Here is a 23835-nt window from a genome sequence, read left to right as displayed (position 1 = left end):
GATTCAAAGGTGACCCTGTTGAATCAGGCTTATTGAGGAACCAAAATGGTCAATGCTTGGGCCAAGTTCTGTCACTTAAAATAGTCAACTAGAAACAACATAGCTGGATCTTCAGGCCCAGGAACTTTTCACTGATGATGTTAGTGTGTGGTGACTGAAGACTCGCTGGGACTCCCTTCTCTTAACCCTGCTGCAGCTGCTTCCAGTGATCTCCAGTGGACCCTGTGTCTTTGTGCCATCCTACCTCTGAATGTCCCTTCTTGTATCAGGTGGCTAAACTTAACTTGCCAGAAAGTGGGGAGAAAGTAACTACATTCCTTATATCACTGCCTATTATTGGGCTTGAGATTGTTAAAAAAATAGCCAAAAATCATATGAAATACATCACCTGTAGATAGGATTCTGTCATGAGGCTACAAATCCTCAAAGAATGCAGAATTCAAGCCAGAATAGAAACAGAGGCATCATTTCAAGTAGGTTCCTGTTACTATGGTAATTTTTATTTTTTTTATTTAGCAGAGTTACCATATAAGTTATCATCCAAATTAATTGTGAGAGTTAAAGGCAGTGTCATTATTAATAATGCCAGGACAACAGCATAAACTGGGACTGTCTTTGGCAAACCTGGATGTGCCATCACCCAATTATTCTTTTTTTATTATTATAATTTAAGTTCTGGGATACATGTGCAGAATGTGCAGGTGTGTTACATAGGTATACATGTGACATGGTGGTTTGCTGCACCCATCAACCTGTCACCTACATTAGGTGGTTTCCAGCTTCATCCATATCCCTGCAAAGGGCATGAACTAATCCTTTTTTATGGCTGCATAGTATTCCATGGTGTATATGTGCCACATTGTCTTTATCCAGTCTATCATTGATGGGCATTTGGATTGGTTCCAAGTCTTTGCTATTGTGAATAGTGCTGCAATAAACATATGTGTGCATGTGTCTTTAGAGTAGAATGATTTATAATCCTTTGGGTATATATCCAATAATGGGACTGCTGGGTCAAATGGTATTTCTGGTTCTGGATCCTTGAGGAATCACCACACTGTCTTTCACAATAGTTGAACTAATTTACACTCCCACCAACAGTGTAAAAGTTTTCCAATTTCTCCACATCCTCTCCAGCATCTGTTGTTTCCTGACTTTTTAATGATTGCCATTCTAACTAGCATGAGATGGTATCTCATTGTGGTTTTGATTTGCATTTCTCTAATGACCAGTGATAATGAGCTTTTTTTCATGTTTGTTGGTCACATAAATGTCTTCTTTTCAGAAGTGTCTGTTCACATCCTCTGCCGACTTTTTGATTGGGATGTTTGTTTTTTTCTTGTGAATTTGTTTAAGTTCCTGTTACTATGGTAATTTTTATTTTTTATTTAGCAGGGTTACCACATAAGTTATCATCCAAATTAATTGTGAGAGTTAAAGGCAGTGTCATTATTAATAATGCCAGGAGATTCTGGATATTAGCTCTTTGTCAGATGGATAGATTGTATAAAATTTCTCCCATTCTGTAGATTGCCTGTTCACTCTGATGATAGTTTCTTTTGCTGTGCAGAAGCTCTTTAGTTTAATTAGATCTTATTTGTCAATTTTGGCTTTTGTTGCCATTGCTTTTGGTGTTTTAGACATGAAGTCTTTGCCCATACCTATGTCCTGAATGGTACTGCCTAGGTTTTCTTACAGGGTTTTTTATGGTTTTAGGTCTTATGTTTAAATCTTTAATCTATATTGAGTTAATTTTTGTATAAGGTGTAAGAAAGGGGTCCAGTTTCCGTTTTCTGCCTATGGCTAGCCAGTTTTCCCAACACCTTTATTAAATTGGGAATCCTTTCCCCATTTCTTGTTTTTGTCAGGTTTGTCAAAGATCAGATGGTTGTAGATGTGTGGTGTTATTTCTGAGGCCTCTGTTCTGTTCCATTAGTCTATATATCTGTTTTGGTACCAGTACCATGCTGTTTTGGTTACTGTAGTCTTGTAGTATAGTTTGAAGTCAGATAGCATGATGCCTCCAGCTTTGTTCTTTTTACTTAGGATTGTCTTGGCTATACCAGCTCTTTTTTGGTTCCATATTAAATTTAACATAGTTTTTTCTAATTCTGTGAAGAAAGTCAATGGTAGCTTGATGGGGATAGCATTGAATCTATAAATTACTTTGGGCAGTATGGCCGTTTTCATGATATTGATTCTTCCTGTCCATGAATATGGAATATTTTTCCATTTGTTTGTGTCCTCTCTTATTTCCTTGAGCAGTGGTTTGTAGTTCTCCTTGAAGAGGTCCTTCACATTCCATGTAAGTTGTATTCCTAGGTATTTTATTCTCTTTGTAGCACCAATTCTTCTTATATCAGCTATGTTAGCTTATATTAGCTTCTTACTGCCTTAGAAGAATTAATTAATTTCTCTTTCCCCTTACCCCCATCTCTTTCTTTTTATTAATTTTTAATTTGTAGGATTGTCCATCCAGTGGAACTTTGACCACTGAGTTACTTCAGGTTTTGCCAAATCTTACTAACATGATTTTCAGACCTCTGGTATTATATTGGTCGGCCAGAAAGTTCTTCCTTTTCAAATGAATTATTGTTTACATTTCTGGCCATGGCTAAAGATGCTAGTAGAATTCTGTGGACTTCAGGAGAAACAAACATTCAGACAGGCTGAAACTGAAATAACAGCACCCTCTACTACCATGGTGTGTAGTGAGACAGCGAGAGCAAGAGAGTGAGTGACAGGAAGTGGGGCAGAGAGCGAGAAAGAGAGAGAATATGAATGATTTTGTTCCACATGTGCATGTCTGTTTTGCCTTGAACCTGTGAATAGATATTGCCCTTATTTTATGAAGGGTTCTAAGAGAAAAGAGGAGAGTGTCTCATACTCTACACAGTTTCTATACTTCATAGAATTATATCCGCACCTTGCTAATGTGTCAAAATAGTTGGCATGTTGGATGCCTGAAAGGCAAATAATTGTTCATACAACATCATATGTGAGTTAAATTGTGGTATCACATAAGGAAACAACATCCTCAGTCTCCAAATGTTTCTTACTTTATCAAATTTAGCTTATATAATGCTAGCTGTTGCACAAAGATCTGTGTGTTTTGATTTATTATTATTATTTACTTAATTAACCCTTTACTGTGGAATAATATGGAAATAGATTGTCTTCAATGTGGCTCTTCAGGACAGCAATAAGTAATAAACTCCATCTGAAATTCTATTACTATCAGTCTACCTGTGAAAAAGCTTTGTGTGTTTTTGAGTAACAGTATGTATCATAACATCAACTACTTTAAGTCCTCATCCATAAAAATCACATCCTTTGGGAGGCCGAGGTGGGCAGATCACCTGAGGTAAGAAGTTCAAGATCAGCCTGACCAACATAGAGAAACCCTGTCTCTACTAAAAATACAAAAATTAGCCAGACTTGGTGGTGGGAGCCTGTAATCCCAGCTACTCAGCTGAGGCAGGAGAATTGCTGGAACCTGGGAGGCGGAGGTTGCAGTGAGCCAAGATCACACCACTGCACTCCAGCCTGGGCAACAAGAGCAAGACTCCGTCCCCCCCCCAAAAAAAAAAAAAATTACATCTTTCATGTTGAACCAATAATTTCCCAGTGATTGGTAATACAAATAGAAAAGTTTGTATAATTTTAAACAATCTGTACTATTTCCCTAGAAATATAATACTAATTGCTATGAAGAAAATTCCATTAAATTTTAATAAAGTTTGAAAATTTGGATCTCAGATATTTTTCAACTATTTTTTTCTATTTATATAATATCACTTATGGCAATCATGAAAATAAGAAATAATTTTCAAAATTTCACATATTATTTCATATTTTTGGTATTCTTTCAGCAAGTAACTATCATCACAGTTGACCTTTATTTTGGTTAATAATGTACTCCATGAACATTTCAATCAAATTTAATGATTAATTAGCTATGACATTAAAGCAAATTAGGTATTAAGAATCATAAAAGGTTTAAGAAACTAAAAAACCCTAAAAACATCAGCTTCAATAGGAAGACTGATACTTTTACAGCCAAGAGTGACACCTAATGAAGATATAATTGGTCATCAACTCTATGTCAGCAATATCTTATCCATGTATCACATGTGACTAAAATAGATAATGGCCAAAAATAATTACTAGGTGAAGTATGCAAATAAAGTACACAGCAAACACATCACCCCTATGTTGCCTTCTTATATTGACTTTCTGGCTAACAAAATTTAAACTGACTCTTTACTAATAAAATTGTCCTAAGTATATTTGACAATGTTATTAATCTATGGTTGATTACTATGCCTGTTTTTTTGAAAAGAAGAGGAAATGTTATGTCGCCCCCTAGTGTAAATATTAATTTTGTAACTTCAGAACTTCAGTAATCTAGAAGACATTGCAAGGGAATTACAGCTATCAAAATTATTATTGAAGAGAATTAAAAGAATTTCTAAGCTTCCCAAAAGAGCAAGCTTCCCATTGTTTCGTGAACTTTATGAGTCACAGCAATGACTGATATCTGAGGGTTTCCTTATGATTTTCATGTCTTCATAAATATTTAGGGCTAAATATTCATGCCCTAAATATCATGCCATAAATATTTAGCCCTAAAATATTTAGGGCTCAGCACATATTTAAGATTCTATACATTCTTGGGGTATGGGTAAACATGTAAGAAATGCCACGGGTAAGCTAAGAGCAATGTTCTGAATGTTTGCCCTCCCCCAAAAAAAGTATATGTTGAAATTCTAAGCCCCAATGTGATGGTATCAGAGATGAGGACTTTGGAAGGTAATTAGGTCATGAGAACTCCACCCTCATAACAGATTAGTGCCCTTATAGAAGAGGGCTAGAGAGTTCTTTTGCCCACTTCCCCCATATGGGAAGAAGTCTGACTATGAGGAAGCAAGCTCTCACCAGACACCAAATTGGCACCTTAATCTTGGAATTCCCAGCCTCTAGAACTGTGAGAAGTACATTTCTGTTGTATGTAAGCCACTCAATCAGTGGTATTTTGTTATAACAGCTCAAACAGGCTAAGACACTGAGAAAAAAAGGAAATGTTGACATGGTTCAATACTAATAGTGTCCAAATTATGTAAATCCATACATAGCTAATTTTATTATCATATCTTTTATCTAAAGATAACATAACTAACAGGGAGAGAGGTGAACTTTACCCAGGTCATAACACAAGTGACTGGCTGTAGTAGACTTTCTTGCTAAATTGGGTGCAAGAACACTATTCTGGAGTGAAAGCAGTCATTTTCTTCTCAACTATAAATGCACATTGTCCAGACATTGACTGTCTTCACCAGGGAGTGGTATTTTGCTAACATAACCTTTTGAAGGAGGTAACACAAATGTAATTTTACAGTATTTCCATTGATACTTTCTTGGGGGTCACTAGATTATGCCACTTGAGACATTTTTACTAAACAAAGACAGAATCTACATATAATTCCATCTTTTTGTCCTTGACCAGTTGTTAAAAAAAAAAATCACTACACACTTCTCATTAAACCCATTCCTTTTCTGCAACTAGTCTCACTTCCTTCCTATTAACTTATTGACTTCAAACATCCTGCTTTCCATAACCAATCTAAAAGTCTTTGGCAACTCCCAGAGTTTCAGACTTTTTCTAAAGTATTTGCAACAAAACTTACTCACTCTGATGTCTTAGTCTGTTCTCTGTTGCTATAAAAGAATACTTGACACTGGATAATACATTAAAAAAGTTATTTTTTACAGTTGTCAAAGCTGGAACATCCAAGGTAAAGGGTTTGGACTGCATCTGGTGACAAGCTTCTTACTGGCGGGGACTCTCTGCAGAGTCCAGAGGCAGCACAGGGCATCACATCGCAAGTGGACTTACGAGTAACAGCCAAATTGATTTTTATAACAGATCCATTTTTTTAATAATAAACACCCTCCCTAGATAGACCATTAATCTATCAACCTATGAATGAATTACTCCATTCATGAGGGCAGAGCCCTTATGACCCAATCATCTCCCAAATGTCCCACCTATCAACACTGCTGCAGTGGGGACAAAGTTTTTTCAACACATGAGCTTCTGGGGGACATATTCAAACCATAGCCCTCTACTTTTCATTCTTTAGGTGTTTCCCGTCTGAGGGGCACAAACAAGACAATACAGATGGGTGCTATGAATGTGACTTCTGTATCCCCCAAAATACATATGCTGAAATCCTAACTCCCAATGTGATGGTATTAGAAGATGAAGCCTTTGGGAGATAATCGGGTCACGAGGGTGGAACCCTCATGCATGCGATTACTTCCCTCATAAGAAGAGACACAATAACTAACCTCCCTCTCTGTCGTCCATCATGTGAGAATGCTATGAGAAGACCACATGCAAACCAGGAAGCAGGTCCTCGCCAGATATGGAATCAGCTAGGAACTTGATCTTGGACTTCCCAGACTCCAGAATTCTGAGAAATAAGTATTTGTTGTTTAAGCCACCCAGTCTATATTAATTTGTTATGGAAGCCCAATCAAAGGCAAAGAGTTAATTTTTAAATTGTTGCTAATAATTTTAACTCCTAGTGGCTGAATCTGGGAGAAAGTCTGTGCACTAGCAGTAATCACGCCTCTCTGTCAAAACACTTCAACAGGAGTCAGGAGAGAACTCTGAAGCTCAGAGAAAGGGTCATGCATAATTCAGTGTCACAGCAGTAGTCAATGGTGAGCCCCAAAATTCTGAGTGCTGCCCATACAGTCCTATATCTGTTTCCCTCCACCACTCCACTGCTGCTACTACCAATAGTATGATTGTCAGAACCAATTTTATCCTACCCTGTATCTCCAGTGACATTGTTCACCACAAGAAGCCCAGAACTCCCAAATTCTTCCTCATTACCTGAACTTTATTCTCCATATGGCTAGGTTACATCCTCTTTTCTGACACAAATCTCTATATTTCTACATATCCTAAAACTCTTGGACTATGTCCTCCTTGAATTCGTAAGTGTCTATTATCAAAAAAATTCTGTAGATTCAAACTTTTCACTGAAGTTAAACTTCTTTTCTTTTTTGCTCTAAGTGAAGCCTGTTTCTCCTGAAAACACTATTTACCCTGTATCTCTCTCCAGAGGTGGATGTTTTATCCTCCAAATTCCTTATACTAATGTGGTAATATGTGGCACAAGCCCTCTTTGCTCCATCTTGACACCTCATTCCTAAAACTTCTCAGCTTTGGATCTCATGTCCCTGAAATAATCTTCTCTTATAAGCTTGTCCTCCTACCTTCTCTTGCAATCATCCATCTCATGGTCATATCTGAGAAAGGAAAAAGCAGCTCTCAATAACTGATGGGTAGGAGCTTGTCTGGATCTAAAAGTGAGGAATAGTATTCTCTTGTCAAATATAAAGTTTCACGATACACTAATGTCAGACAAGGTCACTCTATGACTGTGATGGAGCTTAACAATAACAAGTCCACTCCACAATCACATTTGAGCACATACATTACCAAAAACACAGTTTTTCTTACCCAACATCTCCCTCTGCCAGCCATTATGAGGAAAGCTGCTTTTCCACCAATTACAGCCCTACCCCCACTTTGTTTCTCTTTGCTCCTAGATAGAAAGTCCTAAGATACCCAATATGGAATTGTCTTTTCTTTATCACAGTATCCAATCCAGAATTAAACAATGTTTTAGTAAACTATCCAGAAAATACACCTCACACAATCCCAAATCCGAAAGAACAACCCCTTATACTCTCTTCAAGAGATGCATCGGCCGGGCGCGGTGGCTCACGCCTGTAATCCCAGCACTTTGGGAAGCCGAGGCGGGCGGATCACGAGGTCAGGAGATCGAGACCATCCCGGCTAAAACGGTGAAACCCCGTCTCTACTAAAAATACAAAAAATTAGCCGGGCGTAGTGGCGGGCGCCTGTAGTCCCAGCTACTTGGGAGGCTGAGGCAGGAGAATGGCGTGAACCCGGGAGGCGGAGCTTGCAGTGAGCCGAGATCCCGCCACTGCACTCCAGCCTGGGCGACAGAGCGAGACTCCGTCTCAAAAAAAAAAAAAAAAAAAAAAAAAAAGAGATGCATCAAGGTTCTCCATGGTGTGCAGTTAACCTTGTTTCAACAAATACCAATGTTCCCAACTTGGTTCAACTAGAGTTGTGTCCTGGTATTTCTGGCTGGTGGACATTGACATAACTCTGTACATATTTTGTATATTTCATGAAGACATTTTTGTTTTGTAAAATGAATGTCCTTCATTTTATATATCTCAATTTAAAGCTCATTTGCTTAAATTCAGGCTAACAAAGTATAAACTTTTGAAATTAACTTTAAAAGATATTTGATATTGTTTGGTTGTATCCCCACCCAAATCTCATCTTGAATTGTAGTTCCCATAATCACCACGTGTCATGGGGGTGGAAGGGGGGGACCTGGTGGGAGGAAATTGAATCATGGGGGCAGTTACCCTCATGCTGTTGTCATGATAGTGAGTTCTCACCAGATTTGATGGTTTTATAAGGGGCTTTTCTCTCTTATAAAGGCCTTTTATAAGGGCCTTCACTCGGCACTTCTCCTTCACACCATCATGTGAAGAAGGGTGTGTTTGCTTCCCCTTCTGCCATGATTGTAAGTTTTCTGAGGCCTCCTCAGATATGCAGAACTGTGAGTCAATTAAACCTTTTTCCTTTATAATTACCTAGTCTCAATTATGTCCTTATAGCAGCATGAGAATAGACTAATACAATATTTTATCTAATTTAGAGAGAGCTTGACTTTCTTCAAGTACAATAAACATGTGTGGTAAGCTGTTGGGGTTGAACAGATAAGAATAACTCCATTTTACATAGAGGTTGTTTTAGATGCTTGAGGTGTGTTGATTGAGAGAGAGAAATTGTAATCCAGGCAAACATTTCAGATAAAGTTATTGTAAACCTGTATATAAAATAGCAGAAAAATTTCACAATCAGCTCTATCAATTTTAAACCTATATAGTTATCAACATCAATGCATCTATTTCCTATTAAATCCAAGTGAGATTTACATTTCAAACATTTAGTTAGCTCATTATAAAAGAAATATTATAAACTGATTTTCACTGTATCAGTTAAGGGTCTCCAGAAACATAGGAACAATATGATATGTGTGTGTGTGTGTATGTGTGTGTGTGTGTGTGTGTGTAGACACACCTATGATTTATTTTAACAAACTGACTCAGTGATTGCAGGAGCTGGTAAATCTTAAATGTGAAGGCAGGTCCTACAGGCTGGAAACTCAGGTAGGAGTTGTTACAGAAGTTTTCAGGTAGAATTTTTTCTCCAGAAAGGCTCAGTTTTTGCTCTTAGATTTTTCAGCTGGTTATCAGGCCAAACCACATCATCAAGAGTAATCTCCTTTACTTAAAGTGTCAACTGGTTGTCCACATTATGTGTTTCTACAAAATACCTTCATAGCAATACCTACATTAGAATTTGATTAAATAACTGGCTACGTGATATGATTTGGCTCTGTGTCCCCACCCAAATCTCATCTTGAATTGTAATCCCCAGGTGTTGAGGGAGGGAAGTGACTGGATCATAGGGGCAGTTTCCCCCATGCTGTTCTCGTGATAGTAAGTGAGCTCTCACTAGATCTGATAATTGTATACGCATCTGGCATTTCCCCTGTTTGCACTTCTCTCTCCTGCCACCATGGGAAGAAGGTCCTTGCTTCTCCCTCACCATCCACCATGATTGTAAGTTTTCTGAGGCCTCCCCAGCCACGTGGAAATGTGAGTCAATTAAACCTCTTTCCTTTATAAATTACCTGGTCTTGGGTAATATCTTTTTAGCAGTGTGAGAATTGACTAATATGCTACTATTGTAGGTGACACATAAAACTAGCCATCATGTTTAATACAGGTAATTTTCCTAATACTATTTAAGAAAAACTGTTTTCTTATAATTTGAACACACCATTGACCTCATAAACAGTCAGTATATTAAATGTACTTACATTTAGAAAAGTATATAACTTTCTTCCAATGGTGCTAAACCATTATGAAAGAATTCAGAGTAATACCTCAGGTAATGGATTTTGTTTACTTTGACAACCATGATTGAATTTTAATTATTTATTACTCCACTTAATCTTATACTGTAATAGGAAGTGTACTATAATACATTTATAAAATTAATGAATCATGGCTACTTGAAGACACTATCATAATACAGTACACAGTTATCTCTGCATATCCATGGGGAAGTGGTTCTAAGATCCCCCTAGGATATATATCAAAATCTACAGATTCTCAAGTCCCTTACATAAATGGTGTAGTATTTACATATAGTCTATACACATCCTCCCTTATTCTTTAAATTTTCTGGAGATTAGATTACTTCTAATGCCCAGTAAAATGTAAATACTATATAAACTGTTGTTATACTGTATTATTTAGGGAATAATGGCAAGAAAAAAAAGTTTGTACAAGTTAAGTACAAATACAATGTGCTTTTTTTCTTTTTTGAGTATTTGAGATACTCAAAATATCCACAGTGGTTGAATCCATGAATGAGAACCCATGGATATGAAGGTCCTACTATGTATTGTAACATTTTCTCAGATACAGTAGATAATTTAGAATGAGATAAAACAGATCAAATGGTTTAGGTTAAAATTTTTAGGAAGAGAAACTAACACAATTATATTTATTATTGTGGTTAGCAATATAAAAATGTGATAAACAGATATAAGTAATTTCTTCATAAATTTTTGTTGCAGTACACCATAGATTATAACTGCTATCTTTTTTTGGTAGGATTACTCAAACTCCTAACAGCAAGTCGCTTCAACAGTACTATCTCAGTTAAATGGACACGATAGGAAACTATTTCAATGCCATATCATTACTACAAGTATTTAAATATGATTTACACTATGTATAATACTTTTAATAAACCATTTCCCAAATATGGTATATAAAAGTAACATGTTTATATAAGTATATATTAAAGAATAAAATTACATTCTAAATTAGTTTTTTGAGGTCAAAAACAACAGCAAAATACCAAAAACACCAGTAGCCTAAGTAAAAGTTTGCAATTTTAAAATGCAAAAATTTATCACTCTGAAATCCCTGTATATTTCTTATTATGATAGAGATCCTAGATATTTGACTTGGAGAATACTGTTAATTCAGTTCAAGCAATATGTGGCAAACAGGTACTACAGAATAAAATATAACGATAGAAATATTTCTGTCTCCACATAGGTAAACTTCGGTCCTCGAACTAAGCAAGGTATGGAACACTGAAGTGCCTTCAATGGTCAGGAAAGTAACCTAAGTAAATGAATAGCCTACATAGCAACAGAATGTAGCGTAGACAGTGGAAAACGGAGAAGTGTCTTCTTCCAACTTCATTTCAACCCAAGTATTTTAAAACACTGTGCACATTAAACAAACTAATTTGGCAGCCTGAATTTGGCCCTGAATATAATTCCATTAACCTCTAGACTAGGTCATCCCTGAAATTCTCGCTGATCTGTATTTTCATTAAAAATGTGGCCGAGCGCGGTGGCTCACGCCTGTAATCCCAGCAATTTGGGAGGCTGAGGCTGGCGGATCATGAGGTCAGGAGATCGAGACCATCCTGGCTAACACGGTGAAACCTCGTCTCTACTAAAAATACAAAAAAAAATTAGCCGGGCGCGATGGCGGGCACCTGTAGTCCCAGCTACTCGGGAGGCTGAGGCAGGAGAATGGCGTGAACCCGGGAGGCGGAGCTTGCAGTGAGCCGAGATGGCGCCATTGCACTCCAGCCTGGGCAAAAAGAGCCAGACTCCGTCTCAAAAAAAAAAAAAAAAAAAAAAAAAAAAAAAAAAAAAAAAAGTAATTGCAGTCATCCATAACCTGAAACTATTGGTGCAGAAGTGAGAAGTCAAGACATTATATCGCTATTCAAATTGCAGCTATCTAACATAACTCAATATTTAATGAATTAACAAAAGTATGTGGTAATCATGAATATTATTTGACATTTGCCTTAAAATACTGCTTGCATGTTTGTGTTATAACACTAATTCAAATATCAGTTATTTTCGATACTAGAATAATGTGTTCTGAAAAAGGACATGTAGTAAAGTTTCACTAGAATTCAAAACCAACAGAGCAAGAATATATGACACCTTAAGTTCAGAAAATTGAAACACAAGATGGTCTTTAATATTGAATATATAAGAGTTTAAATGAAATTTGGAAGAATATATAATTGGACTGCTTGTGTGAAGAAGTTTATAAAGTGGGAAGGTATGAAGATATTTTAGGATATCACCCTAATCCACCCTCACCCCTGAGCTCTCTTGAGGACATTAACCTAAAAATAATAACTTTTCCAGCAGCACCAATTCACCAATTGATCTCTTTAGTCTTACATGCACACTCTTAAAGTGCCACCTAAATGGGTTTCGATGAGAAGAGAAGCCTTTTAAATTACATTCTCCAAGAGATTTAGAAAATGTTCAAAGGAATTATATGAAAAATAAGTTATATTCAATAATGAAAACTAAAACAAAAGGCCAAATAGTGTTTCAAAAGCCTGCCAAATTTTAGTGTGTTCCTATATACACAAGGGAAATAACACAGAATTTTTTCAGGTTTTTCAAAATTAACACACATGACAACGTCCTGAGTGACAAGAAACCTACAAACATGTCAAAAGATGTGAATATATTTTTTAACAGATTCAAAATGAGCAAGAGCAGCCCAAAATGCTCCTTAGCATGTATTATTTAGTGCCTAATACAGAGCCTGTGGTGCCTAGAACAGTGCTTTGTAATTGAGGCACCTCGATAAATTTGAATGAACTAAATAACAAATATTTTGTGAACCGATTAGTAAATTAGCAGTTCTTTTCTTGCGGAACATAGTATTTCATATATTAGAAATGCAGGGCAGCCTACAGAAACAAGGCATTTAGGTCCGACAGAAATGAGTGATATTTGCATGTGGAGGATGAGTAGTAAAACAAATTTAATCAAATTATTCTGTGAATCTGGCACTACTTATCCACATCTGTAGACAATTGGAAAAATAAAGTGCCTTCGACCAAACAGATAACACAATACCATCTCTTAATCATATTATCATAATGATCCCTAGATATTCCATAATTTAGCATATAAATTATAAAGGAAATATGTCTGGAGTCAGGAAATCTGCTTGATAATATTGACTCATTGTGTGACCTCAAAACTATCACTGATTCTTTTGAATTCTATAGTCAGTGAAATAGATATAATGTTATTATGAGATACTAAAATGCTGACCAAATAATAGAATGTAATGAACAAATTAGTAATGATTTCCAAGTTTCCCAAGACAAATCCCAAATTACATATTAAAGTGATTAAAGGGATATTTAAATTCCATGTTAAATATGTAGTATACAGAAATATTCTGTATTTATTTAAATATATAATTAAGACAAACTTTGTAAATCAATTCCAAAAAGGATGTACCAAATGTCTTCATTCAGTAAGCAATTGCTTACACAATGATTAACTGGGAAAATCTAAATAAAAAGAATGAGATTAGATGGAAGATAAACTTTATTCTTTTCTGTTAAGCCCTATAACTTATCCAGAAATGTTCTGGAGAACTACTAAATATTCACTTATTTCTTGTTCTATGAAATTAAAACTATATCACAGTTATGTTGCAGCTTTTAACAGAAATCATGATAAATAGGTTGACCTTTCTTTTTGCTTGTAAGACATTGCAAAATGAAAATTTATATGTTTTTCATTAGAATTGGCAAAAGGAATATATTTAAAAGCTCATAAATAGGGTCAACATTAACAAGAGGCTTAGTCTTCAAGAATGTTGTTGTTTTATTTTCCAAAATTTTATGTTTGGGTGGTATAATATGACCTATAGAAGGGACTATATATTTTGACTATCTTCTCAATATGAATGGCAGGATAACGTTCTGGATTTAGGATTAAAGCAATTAATCACTGGCACTAAAATATGAATTACCCTGGTTATCCTATAAGTAACATCTAATTCATAAAAGAAGACTGTATTAACAGTTACAGGCTAACTTAAATTAATCCTGTGATTTTTTTGAAGATTATAAAATTATTTTCTAAATTTGAATTTTAAAAATTCTCAAATAGCCATTAAGTATCTATTGACAGAAACTAACTAAAAGGTCTTGCAGTAATCAAAGTACCTTTTCACTGAGTAATTTTATGTTTAAAGTTGCACTTCCCCGAAGTAAGAAAAAAAACATTTGCGATATTATTAAAATCCTTAGAACTTGGTACACGATTCAAAATACAAAAATGTGATGATTTTTAATGGCAAAATTCAAATATATTAAAATAAAATATAAAGTTGGAAAGATATCATAATTATTACTCCATAAAACTGGGATTAAAATCATTGTACACGATAAACACAAGTTTATCTGTCAATTTAAAAAATAAAAAATAAAACTGTAAAACCATGATAAGCATAAATTCTTACTTGAAAATTTATAGAATGTGGCATATATACCTTCTAAGATGATGTTTGTATTTCTTATTGAGTTGCTAATTTTTAGAAGTTTCAGATCCAGTTTCCTATTTCTAAGTGACAGTATGTTTTAGCATATATGTAAGTGCTCATAGCATCCTATGTGCTATAAAGAATCACTTTGGGGTGAGTATAGACAGCTCTTTTTAAAATTGAAATCATTCATTTATGAATAGATCTAGAATATTTTCTGTTATACTTAAAGACAGGCATAAATCTCATCATTTTCCATAATAATACTCATGAGAAGGCTAGAAAGCACATATAGTAGATGAATATATTATCTTGTAAAGCAGTAGTTTCAAATATATTCACATCATATATGAAAATTTACTTCTTTTCAGTCAGTGCAAATCTCATACACAGGAAATACAAACTTGGGCCGTTTTAAAATCATCTGGAAGGACTAGCTCAGAAGTGCCTAAAGTCTCTTTCATGATAACTAAGATAATTATGGAGTTATTTCAAAGCCATTTTATCCTTGTTTGTTCTTTCTGATGTTTGTCTATATTTAGGTTTATTCATCTCATTTACATAGCTGTTTTTTAGAACCCAATTTACTCACAAGGTTACAATGGTAAATCTAGACTTTAACCTACCTTTTGCAAATGTAAGTCATGAAGAATGAACCAACTCCAAACACACAACAAACACATCAGCATAAGCAAATTCAACTATTGTTAGAACCTAAGATTAACTTGAGAATCAAGACCTATAGAATTTTAACAAGTTGAGGTTTGGAAAATAACTTTTTTTTTCTATAAACCCCACTATGCATTTTATCACCTACACCATTATTGTAAATATGGAAATGAAATCTTGTGCATTAAGTTTGCCTTTAACCGTAAGTTAAATTTAATTGAAAAAACAGTGTGTACTTTCTTCAGACTGAAAGTTTTTCCCCCAAAATTTTACCTTCCTTTTTTACTTCTCTAAGTGGGGCCAGAACAATTTCAATAACTCCTTTAGCCTTTGGCTACTGCTCTTTGTGCTACTCTACTAAAGAAGACTGCAGAAGAGTATTTTCACTTTCTTTTGTTCAACAACAACCAACAACCACATCCACAAAATCAATAAAAGAAACAAACTAGCCCTGCTTTTGTGAGTCTTAAGTGGGCTGAAAGCAAGTAGCCAAGAGATTCAAGTAAAAAGAATGAAATTAAATGCATCAAGAATTTACGTAAAACTTTAGATGAGAACTTTTCATTCTTGGAAAACACACATCACAGCATATTTTCTTTATTCATAAAGAAACATATTTTAAGATACATAAAGAAAATTCGATCAAGAACGCTATATTTATTTTTGGACTATTTGAGTCTGTCCTTAAACTTCTACTCTCCTCATTCAGGCTAAGTTACCACTGTGTAAGAAAGGGGAAGGGAGGCTGCTTGCTAATAAACATGGACTTCAGTGAATCATACATTTTCATATTGCCACCCTACTTTGTCTTTACTCTTTGCAGTACTAAGCCTAATGAGCCTTTATTCTACTTCCTTTTTTACTTTATGGAGGTGTATAGTTCTCCAAACATACCAATACATGAAAGTCAGTTCTGCAGGGAGGTTTTATAGCTAAAGGGGGATTTGGATGAGAAGTAGGAGCAATCATCCTGCACTATCTCAATGCTCAGTACATCTTCTCCCACCAATCAGGAGTGCTCTTCCGACTAGGATCCTGAAAAATGAAGCTCTGTGATCCAGTGAGAACCTTCCAGCAACTGCATGGGTTCTATCTGCCTCACGTTTTCCCTAGTGGCTCTAATGGTGACATAGTGATAGTGTTTCACACATATCCGCCACCACTTTACAGTGAATAGCTGAAAGTGGACAGCATAAGGTTCTAGAGTCACTCTCTTAAGCTTAGCACAGACAACTTCTCACTGGAGAAGTTTGCTATCAGTCCTTCAGGAAAGAGCTGGAATACAAACTCTTTCTGAGACCATCACTCAATCCCGCCACTTCCTCCTTGTGACCAGCCACATGGTTCCCTGCCTCCATCAGAGACAGCCACATCCTCATTCACCTTCAGCCTCCTAAGCCAAACAAAAGAGGTTATGGGGTAACTTGGGGTTAGAGTTCTTTTCTTTTCTCTTTAAACAGGTCCTGTTGACACATTTGCTTCAAATAAGGAGAGACTGTGGTAATCTTCAGCTTAATGGAGTGAGGTGAGATAGTCCAGAGCATTGTGGAAGTGTCAACCAAAGCCATGGATCACAGCTTCCCTAAGACCCCTTCCTTTTTCTACACCCAATTCTCACCCCACGCCCACCAGATAAAAAAATGAGTAAATTATAAACCAAACTGAATCTCAAAACCTCCAAAAACTCAATCTTCCAAATGCCCTCTTAAATATGAGAGAGAGAGAGAGGAAAACAGAAGCGATTACCAGAGTTTTGTTCCCGTTCTTGCTGAGAGGGCCCCGGAAAACTCCCTTGATGTTGCGAAAGTGTCCGTTGCTGAGATGCGTGGAGCTGATGACAATGTAGTAACACTCCATGGGGCAGCCGCCGCCTCCTCCGCCGCAGCCGCCGCTTCCACGCACCCCGCGCCCACAGCCGCAGCGCGCCGGGGCCGGCGACGGTGGGCTGGGAACCCGCCACGAGGGCACGCAGCCACCCCCGGCACGTCCTCTGGAGACTGGCTCACTGCACCCCTCTGTGGTGAGCGCCGAGGCTCCCCCGCCTCCGCATGCTCGCCGCGCTCTCCCCTCAGTCTCTCGCTCCTGTTTCTCCTCAGATTCGCGTCGGGACGACGAGCCCCGCGGGAGGATTCCAGCCTAGGAGGGGGCCGGGCCGGCGAAACGGAACCGAGCGGGAGTCAGTGCCCGCGCGGTGGCCGGGCGGAGCGGGGCTGCGGGAGCCGCCCGCGCGGCAGCAGAAGCGGCGGCGGCGGCAGCATCCCCCGCGCTCGGCGCCTGCACTCGGAGTTGCTGCTGCTGGCAGGCATGAGTGTTATTATAGTGAGCGGCGTTGCCGGTCCATTGCACTGAGCCAATGGCAGGGAGCCACTGGGCTGATACTGAGAGCTGTCAGAGGAGTACATCTGTCACCCGCTGCCTCCCCCGCCCACCCCGCCGCCGGGACCCGCGGCCGCGCCAGCCCGAGCGCGAGTGGGAGCGCCCCGCGCGGCGCCGCTGCCGCAGAGGGCCGGGGACGCGACGGCCACCGCCAAGTGGGAGACTCCTGGAAGGTGGGGGCGGAGAGGAAGCGAAGAGGCCGCGATTTCTTGCCTGGCAGTCGGCGTGGGGGTGGGGGCGAGGGGGATAAATAAATTAATAATTCAATACCGAAAGCCACCCGCTTCCGACTGCAGCGAATCCAGGCCGGTGCCAGCAGCGGCTTCTTTCTCAAGATAATTGCTATCCACTGGGTTTGGCTTATTTGATTTTGTTATTTAATGTGTGTTTGGTATGGAGGCTGGTACCCTGTTCAGTCTTAGGGAAAGGCGAGGAAAGAAAATATGCCCCCCACCCACCCCTGCTCCCACACATTTGTAGATACCGTAAGTGCTTGTGTTGATGATAGTTTCGGGGGAGGGTAGTTGTGGCGATGCGAGTACAAGTGAGTAGAGGGTAAAAGCAGGGACTCCTGATTTATATGTCCCTCCTCCTGGCAATCCTCTCACCCCACCTCCCCTGAGAACCTCAGTTCTTCCTAAATTGCTAAAGCTGAGGGGAAAGGGATGCTTTGCGGCAAAGGCGCTGCTGCCTCAAGCTTGCTTTACATGCCTCTCTAGTTCCTCTCGCACTACAGAGTGGTAGCGAACAAAAGCGTTCGCCCTAGAAGCGACCTGAATGGAAAAATCTGCACACGAACTAATGGGTTTGTCACGGAAAGTAGGGAACCGGGTCTGCAGCATTCCCTGGAGACAGACTTTCTGGTTGGTTTTCAAGGGTCCAAGGCAGCCATCAGCCCGGCTGTGCCCTCCCACCCTGCCTCCCACCCAGTTGATTCTCTCTTTGTGTAAGTTTAGCCCCTCTGAGGTGGTGGAGTGAGAGCATCCCATCAGATATATATACGATTCATCAGTCGGCACTTAAAAAGATCGATAACAGGCAGTGGGAGGCTGGGAGATGGTACCTTCAATGGATTTACTGAAGGCTTTATTTTTCCTTTGCCTTGAAAGGCTTAATTGGTTAAAGCAGATTCCAGACATTCTGATGCCCCTATGTCAGAACAAACTGCACTTTGATATAAACTGTGTTTATTTGGGAAACTTGTTTATTTGAGAATCGAGATTGCAATACATTCCACTCTGTGTGTCTCATATGTAGGATTTTATGTAGCAGTGGCCCTGCAATCCATAATAAGCTCCTTAAATAAATCCGACAGTTTGATTTCACTTTTTGAAAGAGGGAAAAAAGAGAAGAAAGAGAGTCAATAGTAGTGTGAGTAAATTATAACTCATAGATGGTAGAAAGGGGAAGTTACCACATTTACATAGTCATTCTTCCTGTATTATGCTTCAGTTCAAACAAAGGGGAAAAAAAAGTTGGTATGGTTTGATCAAAGCTCATTATGAAGGGTCAGAGTTGTTTAGAGGCACTTGGCTAAATTTTTCAGATATCCACTTGGGGGAGTCTGCAAGTCTCGGGAGAAAGCGAGAATTTGCAAAACTTCTGTACTCTGTGGAACAGATCACCCAATAATTTGTTAGAATTCAGTATGAACACAGTTCTATCAGAGGAAAAACATGTAATTGATCTACACTAAATATTGCATGGAAATTAAATCCATTTCCAGCTATCGTAAAAATATTGTTTTATGTTTACATTTTGAAAATGCAGGCATTCTCTGGACACGTCAACTTTGGAAAGAACTAATAACCTGTATGATTTCTAGTATGTCTTTGGAAGGTTTGTAAACTTTCCAAAGTTAGTTATTAGAAAGGAGATAACATTGTTAGTATTAATAAGCTATACCAAGGAAGCTTGTAGGGAAGTAGAAGAAGCACCATGTGTGAAAGGACCAGATGATGTAGGTTATTTTTTTTTAATTTATAATAATGTAATTTAGGAGGTTTTTTGCAATATTTTTCTATCAAAATACGTCTAATGAAATTCTAAAATTTTCATCTACAGGATAAAGCTCAATATCCAGTTCAGGAAATGGGAAACACTGATATATGACTCATCCCATGGAACAGAATATAGTCTACGTGGAATGTCACACTGTGCTTCTAGTGGCAAAGTTTGCATATATGTATGTATCAGTGTATCTTTAAATTTGCCTTTGTGTTGCAAGCACTTGTTATATCCTTCCTATTATTCCTATTATTTAAATCAATTTTTATTTTGCAAGACTACTGGTAAAGATTTTGGAATGAAATGTTTCTGGGGAACCGAGTCACCCTAATTTAAAAAATAAAAATATCTCAGTAATTTGGACAATAGGTTTAATGTATGAGGTTAAATATATACCTGCTTATTATAAATATGCAGAATCATTTCTTGTTTAGAAAATATTTCAAATATTTTATGGAATAATTACAGATTATTTGTGTTCAGTTGGCAATGTTCTAGCCGAACAACTTATAATTAAAAATGTAAATAAAGAAGTGTCATTAGTCTAAAAACTTGCAGTTCATTTTTGCTACAACTTCACTTCAATTTTGCCCTTTTTGCAACTGCAATTGCCCCTTCAATTCGCCATTTACAACTGCAATTCAAATCAAGATTCTTTAAGTTTTGCTCTTATACTGATTTATCCCACTTATCTTGCTTTGCTTAACTCAAATTTGGATAATAGGTTTCTGCTCAGCGTTGTTCCTCATCTGCTTCTGGCTCACACAAAATTTCAGGACAGTGTTGTCACCTTGACATGTGAAACCAAGGTCTTGCTCCTTTCCTACACCAGCGGCTAGACCTCTGAGTTCTAAATCCCTTTCCAGATTCATTCAGTCCAGCTCTTCCAGGAGTAGGTAAATCTTTCCTGAGTTTACCTACTGATGTTTAACACTATATGTTACTACCTCCACATGCCTTTCCACTGGACTCGCTACTTCATGTCATAAAAATCTTTGGATGCTTTTACTATGTCTGAATAACTTCCCATCACTCAACTGAAAAAATCCACAAATTAGATTGACTTCTGGGTTCCAGCAATTCAGGCTTACCTGGGCTTTTGTGAACCAAGTTTTTAATCTTATGTCATCCTGAAATAACATACAAAGCAAATATGTATTCCACCACTTTTCATATGTGTCTGGGACGTATTCATAGTCATCACTGAGTATATTTTGGGATTCAAAATTTTCCTTTTCATTACTGTAATAATCTTAAGCATATTTTTATCATCTGTATAACCATACAGCTGGATAATTTGGAACTTAGTGTTGCCACTATTTATCACTTTGGTTTACATTCATGTTTATTATCACATTGGTGCCCAACACTACTGCTTTTATTATTTGTGAATAATAAAAATTTAACACTCGATTGTTCACTCTAAGTTAATGCCAAGCGATATGATGGCATGCTGCATAAATGAAGGTGCTACATAGTTAAATTGGAAAAAGTGGTAGAGGAACAGCATCACCATAGTGCACTCATAGTCATTGTAAACTTCAGGCATGTGGAGATTAGCGTTGACACACAAACACTCATAAACAAATTCATGTTTGAGATAGGATTTGATTTCAGCAAAGCAACATCATCTGTTGTATTAAATTAAGTTGGGAAATTTGGATATTTTGCCTGTTGTATTTTCATTTGATTTCTTTTTTTTTGGTTTGTGTTTACATAAGAGCTATAAGCATATGGGGTTGTATAATTAGTTTGATGTTAACATATTTAAGTAAAATTATGCCTCAAGTGAACTTAGTGTATTCAAGAGAATATTTAAGAAAATGTCTATATGATATTTAGTATGAGAAACGCTGATCTATACTAGTCATGGGATATATATTGAATACCAAAACTGATATTACCTGAAGATGATAATGCAATTGTATTATTTTATGGGTGATGGTTAAAATTTTAAGGTAATTATTAGATAATAATTTCCTAAAAGTAGCTCCATGATCATAACCCTGTTTCTGTATTCAAATTCGGCTGAGTTGAAATATGGTCCTGTTAAAAGCAAGGATCAATAAATTGTCACTGATTATAAGACATATATAAAGATGTTACAAACAGAAAGGCATCTTCTAATCAAGGAAGTGTGAAACCTATATTTGTGTGGATTCTATCACAATTAACACCTTATTACAAACCACTGTAAGGCACCTTCAACTAAAACAACTTTTGAATATTGGGCAAATAATTATTCAGACTCCCTTAACTTCACTTATTTAACCTTTGAAAGAAAGGGAATAAGCAAGATATTATCTTATGTTTTTTCAAGCTTAATTATCTGATTCTCTGGCAACTTGCCTAGAGCTGATGTTGATTATGCCTGGCAGAACAGAATACCAACTTAGCTCCCCACTTGAAGATGTGTCTCTTGAATAGCTGGTATAACTGTAGAAATTGTGGAAATGTGGAAATTGATACAAATGTAAAAAGGATTAGAGAGAAATTTCATAATTTTTCTGGATTCAACCTTAATAAGTAGATAAACTAATTTAATTATGCAACTTTTTACATCTTAAAAGAATGATAGAGCACTTGTTAGGCTGTAAAAAATATTTAGGTGATATTTATATTTTTCAAGCATTTTTGCCCCTTACTTTTTAATTCTAATAAGTAGCCTTGGGATAAATGCCAAAACAATGCAAACTGGAAAGCCAAAGCTACATTTCTAATATGTTGCCAAAAAAATTAATGCAATTGGATGACATGTAATTAATTTACCAAAAGGAATAAATTTAAGATATATTATTATGAGTAAAGAAGAAAAGATGAACAATAACTACATTCCTGTGTTTTATTCCCTTTTTTGAATGAAATTTTGTAATATCTATTAAAATTAAAATTACAGCTAACCTTATATCTAGCCATTGCATTCCTGGGACTTGTTACGTAGAGTAAAATTACCAGTATAAACTGATATTTACAAGAACACTTAATGTAACATTAAGGTAACATTCTTAGCTTAACATTATAATTATAAAAAAGCTGGAAACAAAGAAAGTCATTTTCAATAATGAAATAGTTGCATAAATTATGGTGTATATCATAATTATGATATATTATGATATATTTCACAGACTTTCATATACCTATTAAAATAATAAAGTTTATACACATTGATTAGGTAGGATTTTCTAGTTGTTTTATTATATAAAAATGTATATTACAAACAAGAGAGTAGATTAGGATTTAGTTTTGTATAAAAACAAGAACAAGTGTACATTTTTGTGAAAGAATAAACAGATATTAATAAGGTAAGGGTGCATGTATTTTGTCATCATGAGTTTCTTAGTGTCCGGTAAGTGGGAGAAGAAAGAACTAGAAGAGAAGGAGAAAGATGGTATGGGGGAAGATAAAGGTGACAAGCAGGCACCTACAGACACATATTGTTTCTGGGTTAAAAACAAAGGGAAAAAGGAAGCATTGGTGGGAGGGAGGAAGATACAAATACCGCTCTAGTTAGGATGTAAAGAACTGATTCTAGGAGATATGTAAACTCAGGGAGAATATTAAGAAGATACTGAAATGAAAGTAATTGGTCTAAGATGTTAAGTAAAGATGGGGAGGAGGGACAGATTGAGGAAATTGTTTATAAAATTTGGATTCATTTTGGATATACAAATAGAGATAGTGAGATGTGCAGGTATAAAATATGGAGTCAGGATCAGAACCGATTTGGGAGCCACTGGCATATCAATGCCATTTATAAGCAAGGACTGCATGAGATCATGTGAGAGCTTATACAGATAGATAAAGAGCCCCAGGACAGATCAGGGGTGACCTGAGAAGCAACAGCTAAAAAGGGAGATAGAAAACAAGCTCCTGGGAGAAGATTGTAAAGCCAAGAAAATAAGATGCCTCATAAATCCTTCCTTCCAATGCAAAAAGTTAGTTTTAAGGAAAGAGTAACCAACTGTGAGGAATGCTACTGATAGCTTTTAAGAAAAATGAGATGAATAAATGATCTCAATTTGGCCATCTTGAAGGTCATTGGTGACTTTAACAAAGTAATATCTAGAATATACTAACAAGACTGCATATAATTTACAAAAACTAAATTCTGCAGCACAGTTGAGTAATCAGGCATCTGTGCTATTCATATGAGAGAAATTTTGTAGAAATAGTTCTCTATGTAGTACAGATGTGGCCAGATTTAAGAAAAGTATAGGAAGTTAAGACACAATACTGTTC

The 23835-nt window shown here is 36.9% G+C and overlaps 1 protein-coding gene and 1 long non-coding RNA gene across 2 annotated transcripts in view, besides 2 other annotated features; one reads left to right on the top strand and one right to left on the bottom strand.

The window, feature by feature from the left end:
- Positions 1–17501, bottom strand: part of ZNF804A (zinc finger protein 804A) — a 340964-nt gene extending 323463 nt beyond the window's left edge. Inside the window, exon 1 of the mRNA NM_194250.2 lies at positions 16960–17501. Coding sequence (NP_919226.1) covers positions 16960–17070 — 111 coding nt within the window. The 5' untranslated portion in view covers positions 17071–17501. The remainder of the gene's footprint in view (positions 1–16959) is intronic.
- On the top strand, positions 17032–22403 carry LOC105373780 (proline-rich protein 18-like). The gene is made up of 3 exons (NR_171621.1): positions 17032–17233; positions 17310–17762; positions 19654–22403. It is a non-coding gene; the product is annotated as a proline-rich protein 18-like (long non-coding RNA).
- Positions 17279–17438: a silencer, noted in NCBI's record as "silent region_12165". NCBI's record gives its function as "represses an Ori minimal core promoter by ATAC-STARR-seq in GM12878 lymphoblastoid cells {active_cell/tissue: GM12878}" and the evidence as "EXISTENCE:reporter gene assay evidence [ECO:0000049][PMID:35858748]".
- Positions 17619–17738: a silencer, noted in NCBI's record as "silent region_12164". NCBI's record gives its function as "represses an Ori minimal core promoter by ATAC-STARR-seq in GM12878 lymphoblastoid cells {active_cell/tissue: GM12878}" and the evidence as "EXISTENCE:reporter gene assay evidence [ECO:0000049][PMID:35858748]".

This window comes from Homo sapiens, chromosome 2 (genome assembly GCF_000001405.40).
Source record: "Homo sapiens chromosome 2, GRCh38.p14 Primary Assembly".
Taxonomy (NCBI): Eukaryota; Metazoa; Chordata; class Mammalia; order Primates; family Hominidae; genus Homo; species Homo sapiens.
The sequence above is the reverse complement of the archived record's forward strand: the minus strand, read 5'-3'. Positions and strand labels throughout refer to the sequence as shown.